Source organism: Homo sapiens, chromosome 14 (assembly GCF_000001405.40).
Source record: "Homo sapiens chromosome 14, GRCh38.p14 Primary Assembly".
NCBI classification, from domain to species: domain Eukaryota; kingdom Metazoa; phylum Chordata; class Mammalia; order Primates; family Hominidae; genus Homo; species Homo sapiens.
The window spans coordinates 31,678,281-31,694,832 of record NC_000014.9 but is presented as its reverse complement, the minus strand read 5'-3'; the positions used below and the strand labels follow the sequence as shown (position 1 = coordinate 31,694,832).

The 16,552-nt window shown below is 36.7% G+C and overlaps 1 protein-coding gene and 1 pseudogene across 12 annotated transcripts in view, besides 1 other annotated feature; one reads left to right on the top strand and one right to left on the bottom strand.

The window, feature by feature from the left end:
- The window catches only part of NUBPL (NUBP iron-sulfur cluster assembly factor, mitochondrial), a 299,821-nt gene that overhangs the window by 166,392 nt on the left and 116,877 nt on the right, over nucleotides 1-16,552 (bottom strand). The window contains exon 7 of one of the 12 annotated variants that reach the window (XM_017021664.2): nucleotides 1,000-13,790. The exons of the other annotated variants lie outside the window; for them this stretch is intronic. Within the exon in view, the coding sequence (XP_016877153.1) occupies nucleotides 13,710-13,790 (81 nt within the window). The 3' untranslated portion in view covers nucleotides 1,000-13,709. Of the gene's footprint in view, nucleotides 1-999; nucleotides 13,791-16,552 lie in introns of those variants that run through there. 12 annotated transcript variants of the gene reach the window in all.
- RNU6-455P (RNA, U6 small nuclear 455, pseudogene) lies at nucleotides 8,035-8,141 on the top strand (annotated as a pseudogene).
- Nucleotides 11,321-11,508: a silencer, noted in NCBI's record as "fragment chr14:32152531-32152718 (GRCh37/hg19 assembly coordinates)". NCBI's record gives its function as "represses an EF-1alpha promoter that drives an FKBP-Casp9 reporter gene in an ReSE screen in K562 erythroleukemia cells {active_cell/tissue: K562}" and the evidence as "EXISTENCE:reporter gene assay evidence [ECO:0000049][PMID:32094911]".

Sequence of the window (16,552 nt, the reverse complement as noted above, 5' to 3'; positions counted from 1 at the left end):
CCAATAAATGTCTGTTGCTGGCTGCGTGCAGAGGCTCACGCCTGTAATCCCAACACTTTGAAAGGCCGAGGCGGGCAGATCATGAGGTCAGGAGTTCCAGACCAGCCTGACCAACATGGTGAAACCCCGTCTCTACTAAAAATACAAAAATTAGCCAGACGTCATGGCGCACACCTGTAATCCCAGCTACTCAGGAGGTTGAGGCAGGAGAATCGCTTGAACCCAGGAGGCGGAGGTTGCAGTGAGCTGAGATCACGCCACTGCACTCCTGCCTGGGCGACAGAGCAATACTCCATCATAAATAAATAAATGTATGTATGTATGTATGTTGCTGTAAGATGACAAAAAGCCCAATGACATTTTTAAAGTACAGCAATAAGTATCTGCTGTCAGCTCAATAAATAATTACTAAATGAGTGAAAAAATGCCCAAAAAGAACTTCTGTTAGATTAATCAAACTAAGCTACTCACCAAATAATACTGCCTTATACAAATGTTTCAAAGAACTGGACTTTAGTTATGTATCTATTTCCTTGTTCACTAATCTATAATTTTAAAATGGAAAGGAGAATTCAAAATCAGGATTAATGTACCTGATTCCTTAGCTTCACATTAAGCTCCCAAATAAATCTAAAAACAATAACTGAACTATATTATATAGAAAGTCTACCTCATGTTGGCCAGGCACGGTGGCTCACGCCTGTAATCCCAGCACTCTGGGAGGCCGAGGTGGGCAGATCACGAGGTCAGGAGATCAAGACCACCCTGGCTAACACGGTGAAACCCTGTCTCTACTAAAAATACAAAAAATTAGCCAGGCATGGTGGCGGGTGCCTGTAATCCCAGCCACTCAGGAGGCTGAGGCAGGAGAATGGTGTGAACCCAGGAGGCGGAGCTTACAGTGAGCCCAGATCACGCCACTGCACTCCAGCCTGGGCAACAGAGCGAGACTCCGTCTCAAAAAAAAAAAAAAAAGAAAAGAAAAGAAAATCTACCTCATGTTTAAAGGTTTTTTTTTTTTTTTTTTTTTTTAATTTTGTCTTAGGTGCCTAAAAGGCTACCGCCCTGTCCAACTGAAAACTGAATTAATTAATGTTCCTCATTCCTTAATGTTTAAAGCATTTTTAAAATATGAGGCCTGCTAGAGTACCTGATGATGCAAAAATCATAAAAAGAAATTAATAAGGTCACATGCCCCAAACTGACAATAACAATATTCAATGACTTCACCTATAGTTAATGCATAGTCTATGAATCTTTTCCATGCAAGGTAATAAATTTCTTTGGTATATTTAGATATGGCTAACTTAATATCTTAAGAACATAATTTAATATTTTATCTCTCTGACACTTAGGCATAACTTAATATATCATACCATAAATTTGGATGAGGTGGATGAGGATGGTAACTTATATTAGTTTTATAATGTCAAAGGAAGAAAAATGGATCATTTCCTTAGAAACTATTTAAACTATGAATGACTACAAAGAAGGTCGTCTGAAGTATTTTTCTCATGCCTCCATATATCTTAAGAGGCTGAATATATCCAGATCTATTACTACTTTCAAATTAGAAGGATTTAGATATGATTCAGTCAATTATGGATGCCTTACAACTACTAATATTTAAACACTGAATTGTTTCACAATTCACCTTAAAGTGAACTATTTTAAGAGCCTTTAAAATCATTGGGTATAATAATAATTTCTAATACAGAATACTGTTTGAAATCAAATGGGTTATAGATTTTAAAATATGTTTTCCTTATACTGACTTTATATCAAAATGGCACTTGTAATAAAAACTTACAATATTTATTTCGACATACATTGGCCATTACCTAAGAAACCTCTACTGCTGCAAATATTAAGCAGGGAAAAAAAAAAGAATGTGGTCATTAATTATTCTGTTAAACACTGAGAAAATACACCTATTACAGCTTCTTGTATAATCACTTGCCATTTAAGAAACTATGTATCAAACTCCTTTGGCTCTTCCCATGAGAGGTACTTAGGGGACTCAATTTCTTTTTTTCATTTTATACAGGATTAAGCAGAGCTTAGCGCAACTCAGAATCAAAATTCTTTAGGAAACCAAAAGCTGAGAATATTCCTTATTCAAAAGTGAAATTCCATTGTCAGGGAAATCACTAATAACAACTATCAAGGGAAAATGTCTCATTTCTATTGCAGGATCAGCTAAAGTGAAACTGCTTCTTTAGTTGCTAGGAAACAACCAACTCATTATATGCCATTATCAGAAGCCTAGAGAAGAAAACTGGCATCTGCTTCACATTTGGGGATACTGAAGATTGAACTAAAAGCACTAAAACTGCTGCCAAAATCCCTGGTCTCCAGGGTTTACACTATGACCACAGCAGGTGCTGACATCACAGTAGCCTTTGAAGTTTTTCTTTCTGTGGCTTTTTTCTAATAACTAAAGTTGGTTTTTTCAATATCACATAGTTTAAAACACAAAGATTCTAAGAAAAGACTTTTCTCATTTGCATTAAACTAATTATATCTATGTTCAGGAGCACAATTCAGGAGGAAAAAAAATACTAATCAGGAATCTTAACAACAGAAAAATTTTAAATTATCAGTTATTCATTGAGTGAAATGTATTAGATGTTTACACCTATAATTATTAAAGTCAAAATAGAAAATAAAAGGAAATTGTTTCAAATATCAAGAGAATAAAAAGCAACACATACTGATAAATCTAATACTCAAAATAACATCCTAGCATATATCTGCCTATTTTTCCTAATAGATCCTAAAGTTAACTTTAAAAAAATATATATATCCTGACATGCTTTTTTCCCAAGGCATCACAAAATGCATTCATGAACATACACCATATTTATCCATCAATCTTTTCCCTTCCTTCTAGCAGATGAGGTTAGAAGGACATATGGTGAAATTATGCAGATTACCAAACAGTGGCCAGTTGAAACCAAGAGACTTCATGTATCCTAAAAAATAAGTTATCCTTCAGAAGAAGCTGCAGAGGTTGGTAAAGGCATTGACAAACCATCTTCCTTAATGAAATTACAAGGAACAATCCTGGCAAGACTGCCCCGTCCTGGTATAATTCTTCACCCCACCTCCTACTCTAATGTTCGCCTCATTTCCACTACTCACGAGCCTGCCACTCTGGGCTAAACATATTCCCTTAATATTACCTCAAACTCTTATTCTCAAGCAATTCAGCTCCACTGCATCATTATGTCTGCCTTCTCCCAACCTGACTATTACCCACCTTCCTGTCTTTTTTAAGAAACATCACTTCCATCTAGGGTTACCAGATTTAGCAAATAATAGTACAATTGACCTTTGAACAACACAGAGCTTAGAAATACTGATCCCCTCACAGTCAAAAATATGCATATAACTTTTGACTCCCAAAAAACTTTACTAATACCCTGCTGTTGATCAGAAGCCTTACCAATAGCATAGTCAGTCATTACCACATATTTTGTGTTATAGTATATTCTGTATTCTTACAATAAAGTAAGCTAGAGAAAAGAAAATGTTATTAAGGAAGAGAAAATATATTTACTATTCATTAAGTGGAAGTGGATCACCAGAAAAGTCTTCATCCTCGTGATCTTCACATTGAGTAGGCTGAGGAAAAGGAGGAAGAGGTGGGAATGGTCTTGCTGTCTTAGGGGTGGCAGTGACAAACTTCTTTGGCTCTTCCCATGAGAAGTACTTAGGGGGCTCAGTATTAGTGTATGGAAATACATCGTAATTTCTGATTTTTTTTTCTCTAAAAATGTTTCCATATGGTACCAATCCTTCTTCCTCTGTTTGCTTTAGTTTCAGTGCCCGCATCATAGAAGTGTCCATGTCATAAAAGCCAAAAGCAGTCTTGAATAATCAAAATCCTTATGCCATGTTGTCTAATGTCAATTTGTTTCCTGGCACAGTTTCTTCTACTAATTCTTCCTCATCGTCTGGCACTGGTTCAGAAGCACTCATCTCCAACAAGTTGTCTCCTGTTAATTCCTCTGGTGTGGCGTCTACAAGGTCTTGAATTTCTCTGAGGTGCATATCTGAAACCCTTCATCCCTCATCTTTTATGCCATATCCACAATCTCTTTCATGATTTTCCTGATTGACTCTGTCATAAATTCCGTGAAGTCATGAACAACATTTGGACACAGCTTTTCTCCAGCAGGAATTTCTTTTGGGCTTGATAGCTTTAACAGCTTTTTCATGATTTTTTCTCTACCAGGGTTCTCTTCCATAGCACTGACAATCCTTTCCATAGAGTATCCTGCATAATGAGCCTTAAAGGTCCTCACAACCCCCTGATCTAGAGGATACATTAAAGATGTTGTGTTTGAGGGCAAGAAGACCAGTTCAGCACCTTTCATGTCGAACTCATATGGTTCTGGGTGGCCAGGGGCATTGTCCAATATCGAAAGAATTTTGAAAGGCAGTACCTTATTGGTAAGGTACTTCCTGACTTCAAGGAAAACACGTCAGTGGACCCAATCCAGAAAAGGGGTTATCACTAAATTTTATTGTTGTCCAACCCAAAGACTGGCAGCTGGTGTTTATCTTTTCCTTTTGAGGCTCAGAGGTTAGCAGCTTTATAGATAAGGGCAGCCCTGATCATAAACCTAACTGCACTGGCACAAAATAATAGGGTTAGCCTAGCCCTTCCTGTCTTAAATCCTGGTGCTCACTTCTCTTCCTTACTAATAAGTGTCCTCTGTGGCATTTTTTTTTTCCAGAATGAGTCAATTCCACCTGCATTAAAAACCTGTTCAAGGCATGGCACTGGTACAAAAATAGACACATAGACCAATGAAACAGAATAGAGAGCCCAGAAATAAGGCCACACACCTACAACCATCTGATCTTTAACAATGCTGACAAAAAAAAAAAACAATGGGGAAAGGACTCCCTATTCAATAAGTGGTGCTGAGATAACTGGCTAGCCATATGCAGAAGATTCAGACTGGATCCCTTCTTTATATGATATGTAAAAATCAACTCAAGATGGATTAAAGACTTAAATGTAAAACCCAGAACTATCAAAACCCTGGAAGATAACCTAGGCAATACCATCCTGGACATAGGAATGGCAAAGATTTCATGACGAAGATGTCAACAGCAATCGCAACAAAAGCAAAAATTGACAGGCGGATCTAATTAAACTTAAAAGCTTCTGCACAGCAAAAGAAACTATCAACAGACTAGACAGACAACCTACAGAATGAGAGAAAATATTCACAAACTATGCATCTGACAAAGGTCTAATATCCAGCATCTGTAAGGAACTTAAACAAATTTACAAGAAAAAAAAACTCCATTAAAAAGTGGGCAAAGGACATGAACACTTATCAAAAGAAGACATATGTGTAGCCAACAAGCATATGAATAAAAGCTCAACATCACTGATCATTAAGGAAATGCAAATCAAAACCACAATGAGACAGTATCTCACACCAGTCAGAATGGCTATTATTAAAATGTCAAAAAATAACTGATGCTGGCAAGGGTGGGGGGAAAAGGGAACACTTATATATACACTGTTGATGGGAGTGTAAATTAGCTCAACCATTGTGGAAAGCAGTATGGTGATTCTTCAAAGAGCTAAACAAAACTACCATTCAACCCAACAATCCCATTACTGGGTATATACCCTAAAGAATATAAATCATTCTACCATAAAGACACATGCACTTGTATGTTCCCTGCAGCACTATTCACAATAGCAAAGGCACGGAATCAACCTAAATGCCTATCAATGGTAGACTGAATAAAGAAAAGATGGTACATATACACCATGGAATACAATGCAGCCACAAAAAAAAAAAATGAGATCAGGTCTCTTGCAGGAACATGGATGGAGCTGTAGGCCACTATCCTTAGCAACCTAATGCCGGAACAGAAAACCAAATACCACGTGTTTTCACTTTTAAGTAGGAGCTAAATGATGAGAACACATGGACACAAAGAGAGGAACAACAGACACTGGGGCCTACTTGAGGGTGGAGGGCGGGAGGAGGGAGAGGAAAAGAAAAATAATTATTGGGTACTAGGCTTAGTACCTGGGTGATGAAATAATCTGTACAACAAACCCCCCTGAAATGAGTTTACCTATATAACAAACCCTTATCTGAACCCCTGAACCTAAAAGTTAAAAAAAAAAAAAAACAACAACAAAAACCTGTTCAGGCAGATAGCCTTTCTCCTCAAAGATTTTCTTTTTTTTTTTTTTTTCTTTTTTTTCTTTGAGATGGAGTCTCACACTGTTGCCCGGGCTGGAGTGCAATGGCGCAATCTCAGCTCACTGCAACCTCCTCGGCCTTCTAGGTTCGAGCGATTCTCCTGCCTCAGCCACCCGAGTAGCTGGGATTACAGGCGCCCACCACCACGCCTGGCTAACTTTTTGTATTTTTAGTAGAGACGGGGTTTTGCTATGTTGGCCAGGCTGGTCTCAAACTCCTGACTTCATGATCTGCCCACTTCGGCCTGCCAAAGTGCTGGGATTACAGGCGTGAACCACCGCGCCTGGCCCAGTGATTTACTTAATGATGTCCACGAACTCATCTGCTGCCTCTTGGCTGGCAGAAACTGCCTCTCCTGTTACATTGATATTTTTTTAAGGGAAACCTCTTCCTAAAATTATCAAACCATACTTTGCTGGCATTAAATTCTCCACCTTTAGATTCTTCAGCTATCTTTTGCTTTAAGTTGTTATATAATGACTTCATTTTTTTCTTGAATAATATTAGAGTCTACAGGCATGCTTTACTATAGCAATCCTGCACTCATATATAAGCTGCATTTTCAATACAAAGTAAAAAGGTATTTGGCAAAATGTGCAAGGTTTTCATGCCTGATAATGTAGCTGCAGCAACAACTTCACAAATTTTCTTATCTTTTCTCACAATGGTCCTTAGGTTGGATTCATTTATCTTGAAATGGCAAGCAACTGCAGCTGCAGACTTCATTCTATGGTACATATCAAGCAATTCAACTTTTTTTTGTAATGTTGTGATTTTCCTCTACTTCTTCAGAGACTTCCAGCATCACTAGTGGCACTTCACATGGTCCCATGGTGTTATTCAAGGTTCACGGTATTATGTTAAACACAATGAAAAATACATGAAAACTCTAAGACATAACTTTTTACTGTAATAATTGATTGGAGAAATGAACTGCTCACGCAGAGATCATTAGCACACAGCATTTTAAGTGGATACTCACAACACTTGAGCTCACCACAATAGCAACAGGAGGTAGCTAACAAAATTATCACAGCAGTATAGTATGTAGTACAGTGAATTTTATGCAGTTATAACGTAGTACTACATCTGTACATTTGTTTACATTTCTCTTGACTGCTAATGGCACCATGCACAGTGTGTAAGTTTTGTATGCATAAGTTTTGATAAATTTTAACTTTTATAATAGATTTGTGTATACTTTAGGTAGTACATGATAAAATACACTAGTATCAACATATATTTTAGGCATTCATGACATATGTGATGTTTTATTAATTTTTTGATATTTCTAAGATACATGGTTCATCTGCAAGTTTTTTCAAGTTGTTCCAAATCTGCAAAAAATTTTCCAATGTGGTTAACTGAAAAAAATCCTCATATAAGTGGACTCAAACAGTTCAAACACAGTTATACAGGAAACTCAAAGTCATTTATGCCTGAATATGAGATACACAATGAATTTTTTTTTTGAAACAGGGTCTCACTCTGTTGCCCAGGCTGGAGTGCAGCAGCATGATCACAGCTCACTTCAATCTCAAATTCCTAGGCTCAACCAGTCCTCCCATCTCAGCCTCCCAAATAGCAAGACTACTGGTACATGCAACCATGCCCAGCTGTTTTTTATTTTTTGTAGAGATAGAGTCTTGCGATGTCGCACGTGTTGGTCTCAAACGCCTGGCCTCAAGTGATCTTCCTACCTTGGTCTTCCAAAGCACTGGGATTACAGGTGTGAGCCACAGTGCCCAGCCATACTGAATAATATTTTAGTATGGACAGATCCCAAGTGCTCACTTCAGCAGCACATATACTAAAATTGAAATGATACAGGGAAAATTAGCATGGCCCCTGCACAAGGATGACACATAAATTTGTGAAGCATTCCATGTTGTTATGAAAAGCAATAGCAAATGCTGGCGAGGATATGGAGAAAAGGCAGATCCCAAATTATTCATTGCGTGTCTGATGCTCAAACTTAACTGGGCATCCAACATATTACCTGGCAACCCTGCTCCCAGTGTGTGATACTTTGATCCTTGACATTTTTATTGCTTTGCTAGAGACCTGATTTTCCTCACATAACCTCATTTCCAAATTCTTTTATTTTTTAGAAAAGCCTAAGTTTCTAATATCCCTCCTCTGAACACAACCAACTTATCCATCACTTTTCACACCTTTTCTTCTACCAGCTACTGAATTGCTTCTTCCTCATTCCAGGTGTTTCATATTTGATCTCTCCAATTTTACCCAGTCTCCTGATCCCTCTTGACTACCTGTCTTTCTTGAAACCAGGACTTCAGTGTTCCACTCATTAATTCCCTGGATATTTTTCTCCTTTGGACTTTCTGCCACACCAGTTACTAATCCTAGATCTAACAAAAGGTTTACCCATGTCACCTTGCAGGCTTCAAAGAGTTATTGAAAACAGTCATAAAAACTTGGCAAAAGTAAAAATTTTGATATTCAGCATCCAGTAGGCCTTTGCTGCTACACAGGGGTCTTATCATTCATCTCCTCATCTCTCTTTTTTTTAATTCCTCTGAAAGCAGTTAAAAAGAACTGCCTCTGTACCATTGTATGCCTAAGCCTGATTTTAGACCCACCAGCATTAGAGTCACCTGGAATAATCTAATTAAAATGTGAATTCCTTGGCCATACCTGGGACCTACTGAATAAAAATCTTCAAGTGGGAGAGTGGAATAGAAAGCCTATAAATTTGAATTTTAAATCAGTTCTCCATGTAATTTTCATGAACACTAAAAACTGTGCATCACTGCTCTATTGAATAAATGCACCATCTTTTCCCGTCTACTGGGAAGAATACCTTTTGTTAACTTCTTTTTAGTGTCAGGTAGGATGGGATTACTTTATCTGCCCTTTTTTTCTATTCCAAACACAAATTTGGAAGAACTTCTTTTTCAAAAATAACTTACCTCTCTGACCTTTAATCCTATTCCCTTTTGCCTTTTTCATAATTTTTTAAAACAATCCTCTCATTTTCTATAATTTTCACTGCCTCTTCACTGAATCCTTTCACCTTGTAAAAGGTATGGCTGTCCTCTTTAAGAAAAAAAAAGGCTTTAATTTAATATACCACTCCTCCTTAAGCTACCATCCTATTTTCCTTTCCTTTCCCTCACCCAGCCCCCAAATTCTTGAATGGCCTATTTTAGAATACAATACTCTCTATATAGGTAGAATACACCTCTACCTACATAGTATTGTTATAAATGTATTCTTAAACCCCTATAATCTTTTTTCATTCCCTGTTCTAGTTAAGGTTTACAAATTTCCACCGAACATCTATTATTCCCTTGCCCTATCTCAATCCTTGTTCTCCCTGACCTATCATTCTTAAAACTCTCCACACCAGTGATTCCCAAACTTGTCCACAGACTGGAATCAGGTGGACAGTTCCAAAAGTGATAATGCCTGGGTCACATGCCCAGGATTTGTAATTTAATTGGTCTGAGGTGTGAGCTGAAATTTGAAAATTGTTTAAAATCCCTAGATGATTCTAATATACAGATATGTTGGAAAACCATTGCTCCAAACCTTTAATCTTCATGACATTAGTATCCTTAGTTTTTTCCTACCTTTTGAACTACTTCTTTTCCTGTTTACTAACTCCTTTTCCTCCCACTAAATCACACACCTCCAAATATGAATGTTAACCAAAGAGAAGTCCTCAATTCATTACTTTCCCTTACTATAATCAACATTAATTCAAGCCATGACAGAAGAGGTGTCTCAGGGATAATGCTGGTAACAATGTTGATACCCATTATAACATCAACAAATCTAATACACCACTAATTATAAGATGCATCATTATTTTGTGTAGCACTAAACGAAAAAAACACCTAAGATAAATTGGGGTCTAATAGGAGAATCCTACATAAAGCTAGGATCCCAAAGGACTACATCATCTTAAACCAAAGATAAATAATATATAAATCCACAATTTAGAAAGAAATCTCTCAACTTGGGCCATGGCAGAGGGGAGAAAACACCTCCTTAACAACATGAACCACCAGTTGGTATACATGCAGCTTTCCGATCTGTATTCATACCACCAGAGTGGTCCCCAAAACTTCTAACGGATAATTAAATTGAAAGTGCCTCAGGTTAAAGCATTCCAGGTGACTGCAAAAACGATACAAAACCTTTCTGAAAGGACCCCACTTCAATACAGGGATAAAGCAATGCTGAAAAGCCATCAATTGCAAAATACATCTTAATTGAAGATAAGTTAAAATGTGAAAAAAAAGTATACCCAGACAAAATAAAATAATTACAAAACCCATGTACATGACACTAGGTTTCCTAAGCATATGACACATATTAACTCATTTAATCCCCATGATGAGGTAACTACCATCAACCCCATTTACAGATGAGAAAACAAAAGCTCAGAGAAGTTTCTGCCCAAGGTCACACAGCTATTAGATATTGAAAATGGAATAAACTCAGGCAGATGTGACTTCTGAGTCCATGCCCTTAGCTATTGAGCTATGGATGTAATTCTGGAAAGCATCAATATTTAAGGGATAGGCAAGAAAAATGACCCAAAGATATCAAGGAAATTATGAAAACTGCCAGAGAAAAAACCACCTTACTCACAGAACAACTAAAGAAACTACTACTATGGTAGTAGCAGTTGAAGGCCAGAGGACAGTGGAACATCATTTAAGACTTGAATTTAAAATGTCAACTCAAAATTCTATATGCAGTGAAAATAAGGAGGGAAAAATAAAGACATTTCCAATAAATAAAAACTGAGAAAATTCATCACCAGCAGACCCACAACATAGAAAAAAAATGAAGATTTTTAAGATAAAGAAAAACAGTACCAGATTAAACTCAGATCTAAAGAAAAATTGAAAAGTACTGAAATAGCAAGTGTGTAGGTAAATAAAAAAGATTGTTTTGGCAGCCGGGCGCGGTGGCTCACGCCTGTAATCCCAGCACTTTGGGGGGCTGAGGCGGGCAGATCACGAGGTCAGGAGATCGAGACCATCCTAGCCAAAATGGTGAAACTCCGTCTCTACTAAAAATACAAAAATTAGCTGGATGTGGTGGCCTGTAATCCCAGCTACTTGGGAGGCTGAGGCAGGAGAACTGCTTGAACCAAGGAGGCGGAAGTTGCAGTGAGCCTAGATTATGCCATTGAGCTACAGCATAGTGACAGAGTGAGACCCTGTCTCACAAAAAAAAAAAAAAAAAAAAAAAGATTGTTTTATTAACTAGCTTAAAAGATGATTAAATAAGTTTTATAGCACTGTATGTGAGATTTATAATGGATGTATAGTTAAAATATATCACAATAAAATATAGGAGATGGTGAATGGTACTGTATTGTTACAGGGTGCTATAGTTTGGATAGATGTCTCTCTAAACCTCATGTTGAAATTGTATCTCCAATGTTGGAGGTGGAATCTAGTGGGAGGTTCTTGGGTCATGGAAGAGGATCCCTCATAAACAGCTTGGTGCCATCCTTAAAGTAATGAGAGTTCTCACTCTATTAGTTTCTACAAGAGCTCGTTGTCAAAAAAAAAAAAAAAAAGGAACCTAGCACCTCCTCCCCGCCTCACTTCCTCTCTCTTGTCAGGTGATCTCTGCATATACTGGCTCTCCTTTGCCTTCCACCATGAGTGGGAGCAGCCTGAAACCTTCACCAGAAGCAGATGTTGGTGCCATGCTTCTTGTACAGTCTGTAGAACCATGAGCCAAATAAACCTCTTTTCTTTATAAATTACCCAGCCTCAGGTATTCCTTTATAGCAACACTAAATGGACTGAGACACAGCATTCTTAACTACATATTAAATAGCACAATATTAACTTTTCTTTAAGAAGGCTGTGATAAGAAAACATATTATAATCCCTAAAGCAGTCATAGAATAATAATACCAAGAGGGATAGATAGCTAAGGACCTAATGGAGAATTTAAATGGAATTCAAGAAATATTTCATTTATTCAAAGAACGTAAGAAAAAAGAAAAAAACAGATGAAACATATGAGGAAAAAATCAAAATGGTAGACTGAAACCCAACCATTAATAATTATACTAAATGTAAATAAACTAAGCATTCCAATTAAAAGGCAAAGATTATCAAACTGGATAAAACAGTAAGATACAACTAAATGTTGAAATCAAGAGACTCACTTTAAATATAATGAAATAGAAGGTTAAAAGTAAAAGAATTAAAACATTCCATGAAATTATATGCATAAGAAAAGCAAATGTGGCTATATTAGTATCAGATAAAGTAGACTTCAATATGAAGAATTTACCAGAGATATAGAGGAGTATTTCATAACAACAAAAGGGCAAATTCACCACGAATACATAACAATTCAAAACATATGAGAGTATAACAGAACTCCAAAATATATTAAGTAAAAATTGAAATAGAGAGAGAAATGGGCAAATATACAATCATACCTGGAGATGTTAACACTCCTCTCTCATTAATTTATACAGTAACTAGACAAATCAATAAAGTTACAAAAAAATGTGAACTCTGTCAACCAACCTGACCTAAATCATATTTAAAGAACATTAACCAAAATAATTTAAAAATGCAGTCGTTCCAAAAGCGTATGAAATATTCACAAAGATGGATCGCATGCTGGTGCTGGTCCACAAAAAGAAAATCTCAAAACATTTTAACACTGAAATATTACAGAGTGTATTCTCTAGCCAAAACAAAATTACACTAGAAATCAATGCCATTAAGTTATTAAGAAGATCTTCCAATGTTCAGATATTAAACAACATACCAAAAATATTTGTAGGCAAAAGAAGGAAATTAGAAACTACTTTTAACTGAATGACAATGAAAACACCAACGTATCAGAATTTGTGAAAGTTTAAGCAACGCCTAAGAGATAAATTTATAGCCTTAACTGCTTGTATTTAAAAAAAAATTTAAATCAATTATTTAACTGCCTACCTTAAGAGCTAGAAAAAGAAGGGTATATTAGCCTGATACAAATGAAAGGAAGGAAATAATAATGATAAAAGCAGAAACAATGAAATAAGAAACAAACATATGACAGAAAAACGTCTAAGGGTGAAAAGTCGGTTTTTTTGAAAAAAAAAACCAGTAAAGTTTATAAACATCTGGCAAGAACAATCAAGAATAAAAGAGAAAAATAAACAAATTACTAACATTAGAAATAAGGAGGGAACACTGCTACATCCCATATCCATTTAAAAACATAAGAAAATATTATGAACAAATTTCATGTGTACATTATACAATTAAAGTAAAAGAAACAAATTCCTATAAAACACAATTTAACATAATTAAAACAAGATAAAATTTAAAATCTGAATAGAATTAGTCATCAAAAATGTTCTACCAACCCAAAACAAAACAAAGCACGCCAAGCCTGGGTTTCACCGATAAATTCCTTCAAATACCAACATTTAAACCAAAGCTAATAAATTTTTTACACAAGATATTTCACAAAACAGAAGAGGAAAGTACTTTCCAACTTACTTTTTGAGGCCAGGCTAACTCTCATATAACACTTGAAAAAAATATTACAAGAAAAATAAATTACAAACCAATATTATTCACAAACACTATTGCAAAAGTCTAACAAAATATCTGCACTAGCAAATTCAATCCAGCAATGCAGTAAAAGTACAGTTGGCCCACCATATCCACGGGTTCCACATTCATGAATTCAACCAACTGCAGATCAAAAATATTCAGAAAAAAAATTGGATGGTTACATCTGTACTGAATATGTACAGACTTATCTTGTCATTATTCTCTAAACAATTCAGTATAATAACTATTTACACCGTATTAGTTATTATAAGTAATACAGCAATTATTTAAAGGGAGGCTGAGTGTAGATTGTATGCGAATACCACATTCACCACTTTATGTAAGAGACTTGAGCCTTCATGGATTTTGGTACCTATAGAGTTCCTGGAACCAATCCCCCACAGATATTGAGGGACAACTATAATTACAATATTACTCATTGTAATTAAAATATGATCAAGAAAACATTAACATCAGAAAATCAGTGAGAATAAATAACCAAATTAAAAAGAATAAAGGAGAAAAATTATATGATCATTTCAATAAGTGGTAAGGGAAAAGCATTTGAAAAAATTCAACATTTATGATTAACAATAAAAACTTTCAAGAAACAAGGAAACAGGAAGGAACTTCCTAACCTGAGAGAGGGCATGATACAGCTATCATCTTTCATAGCAACAAAATACTTAATGTTCTTCCCCACCAAAATCAGGATAAAGGCCAGGATGTCTCTTCTAATTCTGTGTTCAACATTATACTGGCAGTAAGTAAGGGCAATAAGAATACCAGAAAATCAAATTTAAGGAATGGATTGAAAAGGAAGAAATTAAGCTGTTTTATTTGCAGACAACATAAATGTACACACAAGACACTAATACAGTTACTAAACAACTACTAGATTATTAAAATTTAGCAAAGTCACAGGATTCAAGGTTAATGTACAAAAATCAGTAGTATATGTTTCTGTACACTAGCAACAAACAATTTGAAATTCAATACTTAAATAACAATTCAATTTACAAGATGATCAAAAAATATAAATTACATAAAAGATATATCTAACAAAAGAAGACCTATATGCTAAAAACTATAAAACATTACTCCAAGAAATTAAAGAATCTCTAACAAAATGTAGGAAAAGGTCACAGATTAGAAGACTCAATGTTGTCAGAATCTCAATTCATCCAAAATTGTTCTATATATTGAATATCATCCTAATAAAAGTATCAACATGCTTTTCTGCACAAATTGAATCTAAAATACATAGAAAAGTAAAAGAAACTAGAGCAGCCAAAACAATTGAAAAAACACAGTTGGAAAATGCACATTTCCTAATTTTAAGCCTTCTATAAAGCTATAATAATCAAGACAATGTGGTTTTACAGTAAGGATTAAACAAACAGATCAATGGAGCACAACTGCATATCCAGAATAGATGATACACATACGGTTAATTGATTTTTATCTAATATATAAATAAATTCAGGGAAAGGGAAGTCTTTCAAACAAATGATGCTAACATAACTGTATAAACTATAAAAAATTATAAACATTGACCCTTATTTCACACATAAAAATTAATTCAAGATGTACAAGACAGAACTATAAAGCTTTGAGAACATAAGAGAGAGACAGCAAAGCAAGATGGTGGAATAGAAGGCTGCAAAAAAATTGCCCCCCGCCCCCAACGCAGGAACACCAAATTTAACAACTCTCTACACACATACACAAAACCTACATAAGAACCAAAAATCAGATGAGCACTCAGAATACCTGGTTTCAATTTTATATTACTGAAAGACACACTGAAAAGGTCAGGAAAGACAGTCTTGAATTGTGGTCTCCACCCTTCCCCATCACCCAAGAGCTGTGTGGCACAGAGAATCTGTGTGCTTGGGGAGGGAGAATGCAGCAACTGTGAGACTTTGCACTGAACTTTGTGCTGCCCCATCATAGCAAAAAGCAGAACCAGGCTGCACCTACCTGATGCCTGCACACAGAGGAAGCATATGGACTGGCCCTAACCAGAGGGGAATCGCTCATCCCAGAGGTCGGAACCTGAGTTCCAGCAAGCCTCAACACCACGAGCTGGAGTGCTCTGGGATTCTAAATAAACTTCAAAGGGAGTCTAGGCTACAAGGACTGCAGCTCCTAGGCGAGTCCTAGAGCTGAGCTGTGCTCAGAGCCAGTGGACCAGGGAAGCACACAACCTACTAAGACACCAGCCAGGGCAGCTAATGGAGTGCATGCACCAACACTCCCCCAACCCCAGGCTGCACAGGTCGTGGCTTCACAAGAGACCCTTTCTTCACTTCAGGACAGGAGAGGGAAGAACAAAGAGAACTTTGTCTTGCATCTTGGATACCAGCTTAGCCACAGTAGGACAGGGCACAGAGCAGACCTGTGAGGACCCCACTCCAGGCTCATGGACGACATTCCTAGACACACCCTGGGCCAGAAGGTAACCCGATACCTTGAAGAGAAGGATCCAGTCATGGCAGGACCAACACCTGCTGAATAAAGGGCCTCTGGGCCATGAACAACCAGCAGCAATGCCCGGGAACTATGCCACGGTCCTTTGGGTGAGACTCTGAGATGTGCTGGCTTAAGGTAAGATACAGCACATTCCCTGCTGTGGTAGCTACAATGACAGACTTCATCTACTTGATAAAAGCAAAGGGAAAAGTAAAGGAGACTTTGCCTGGCACCTTAGGTGCCAGCTCAGCCACAGTGGGG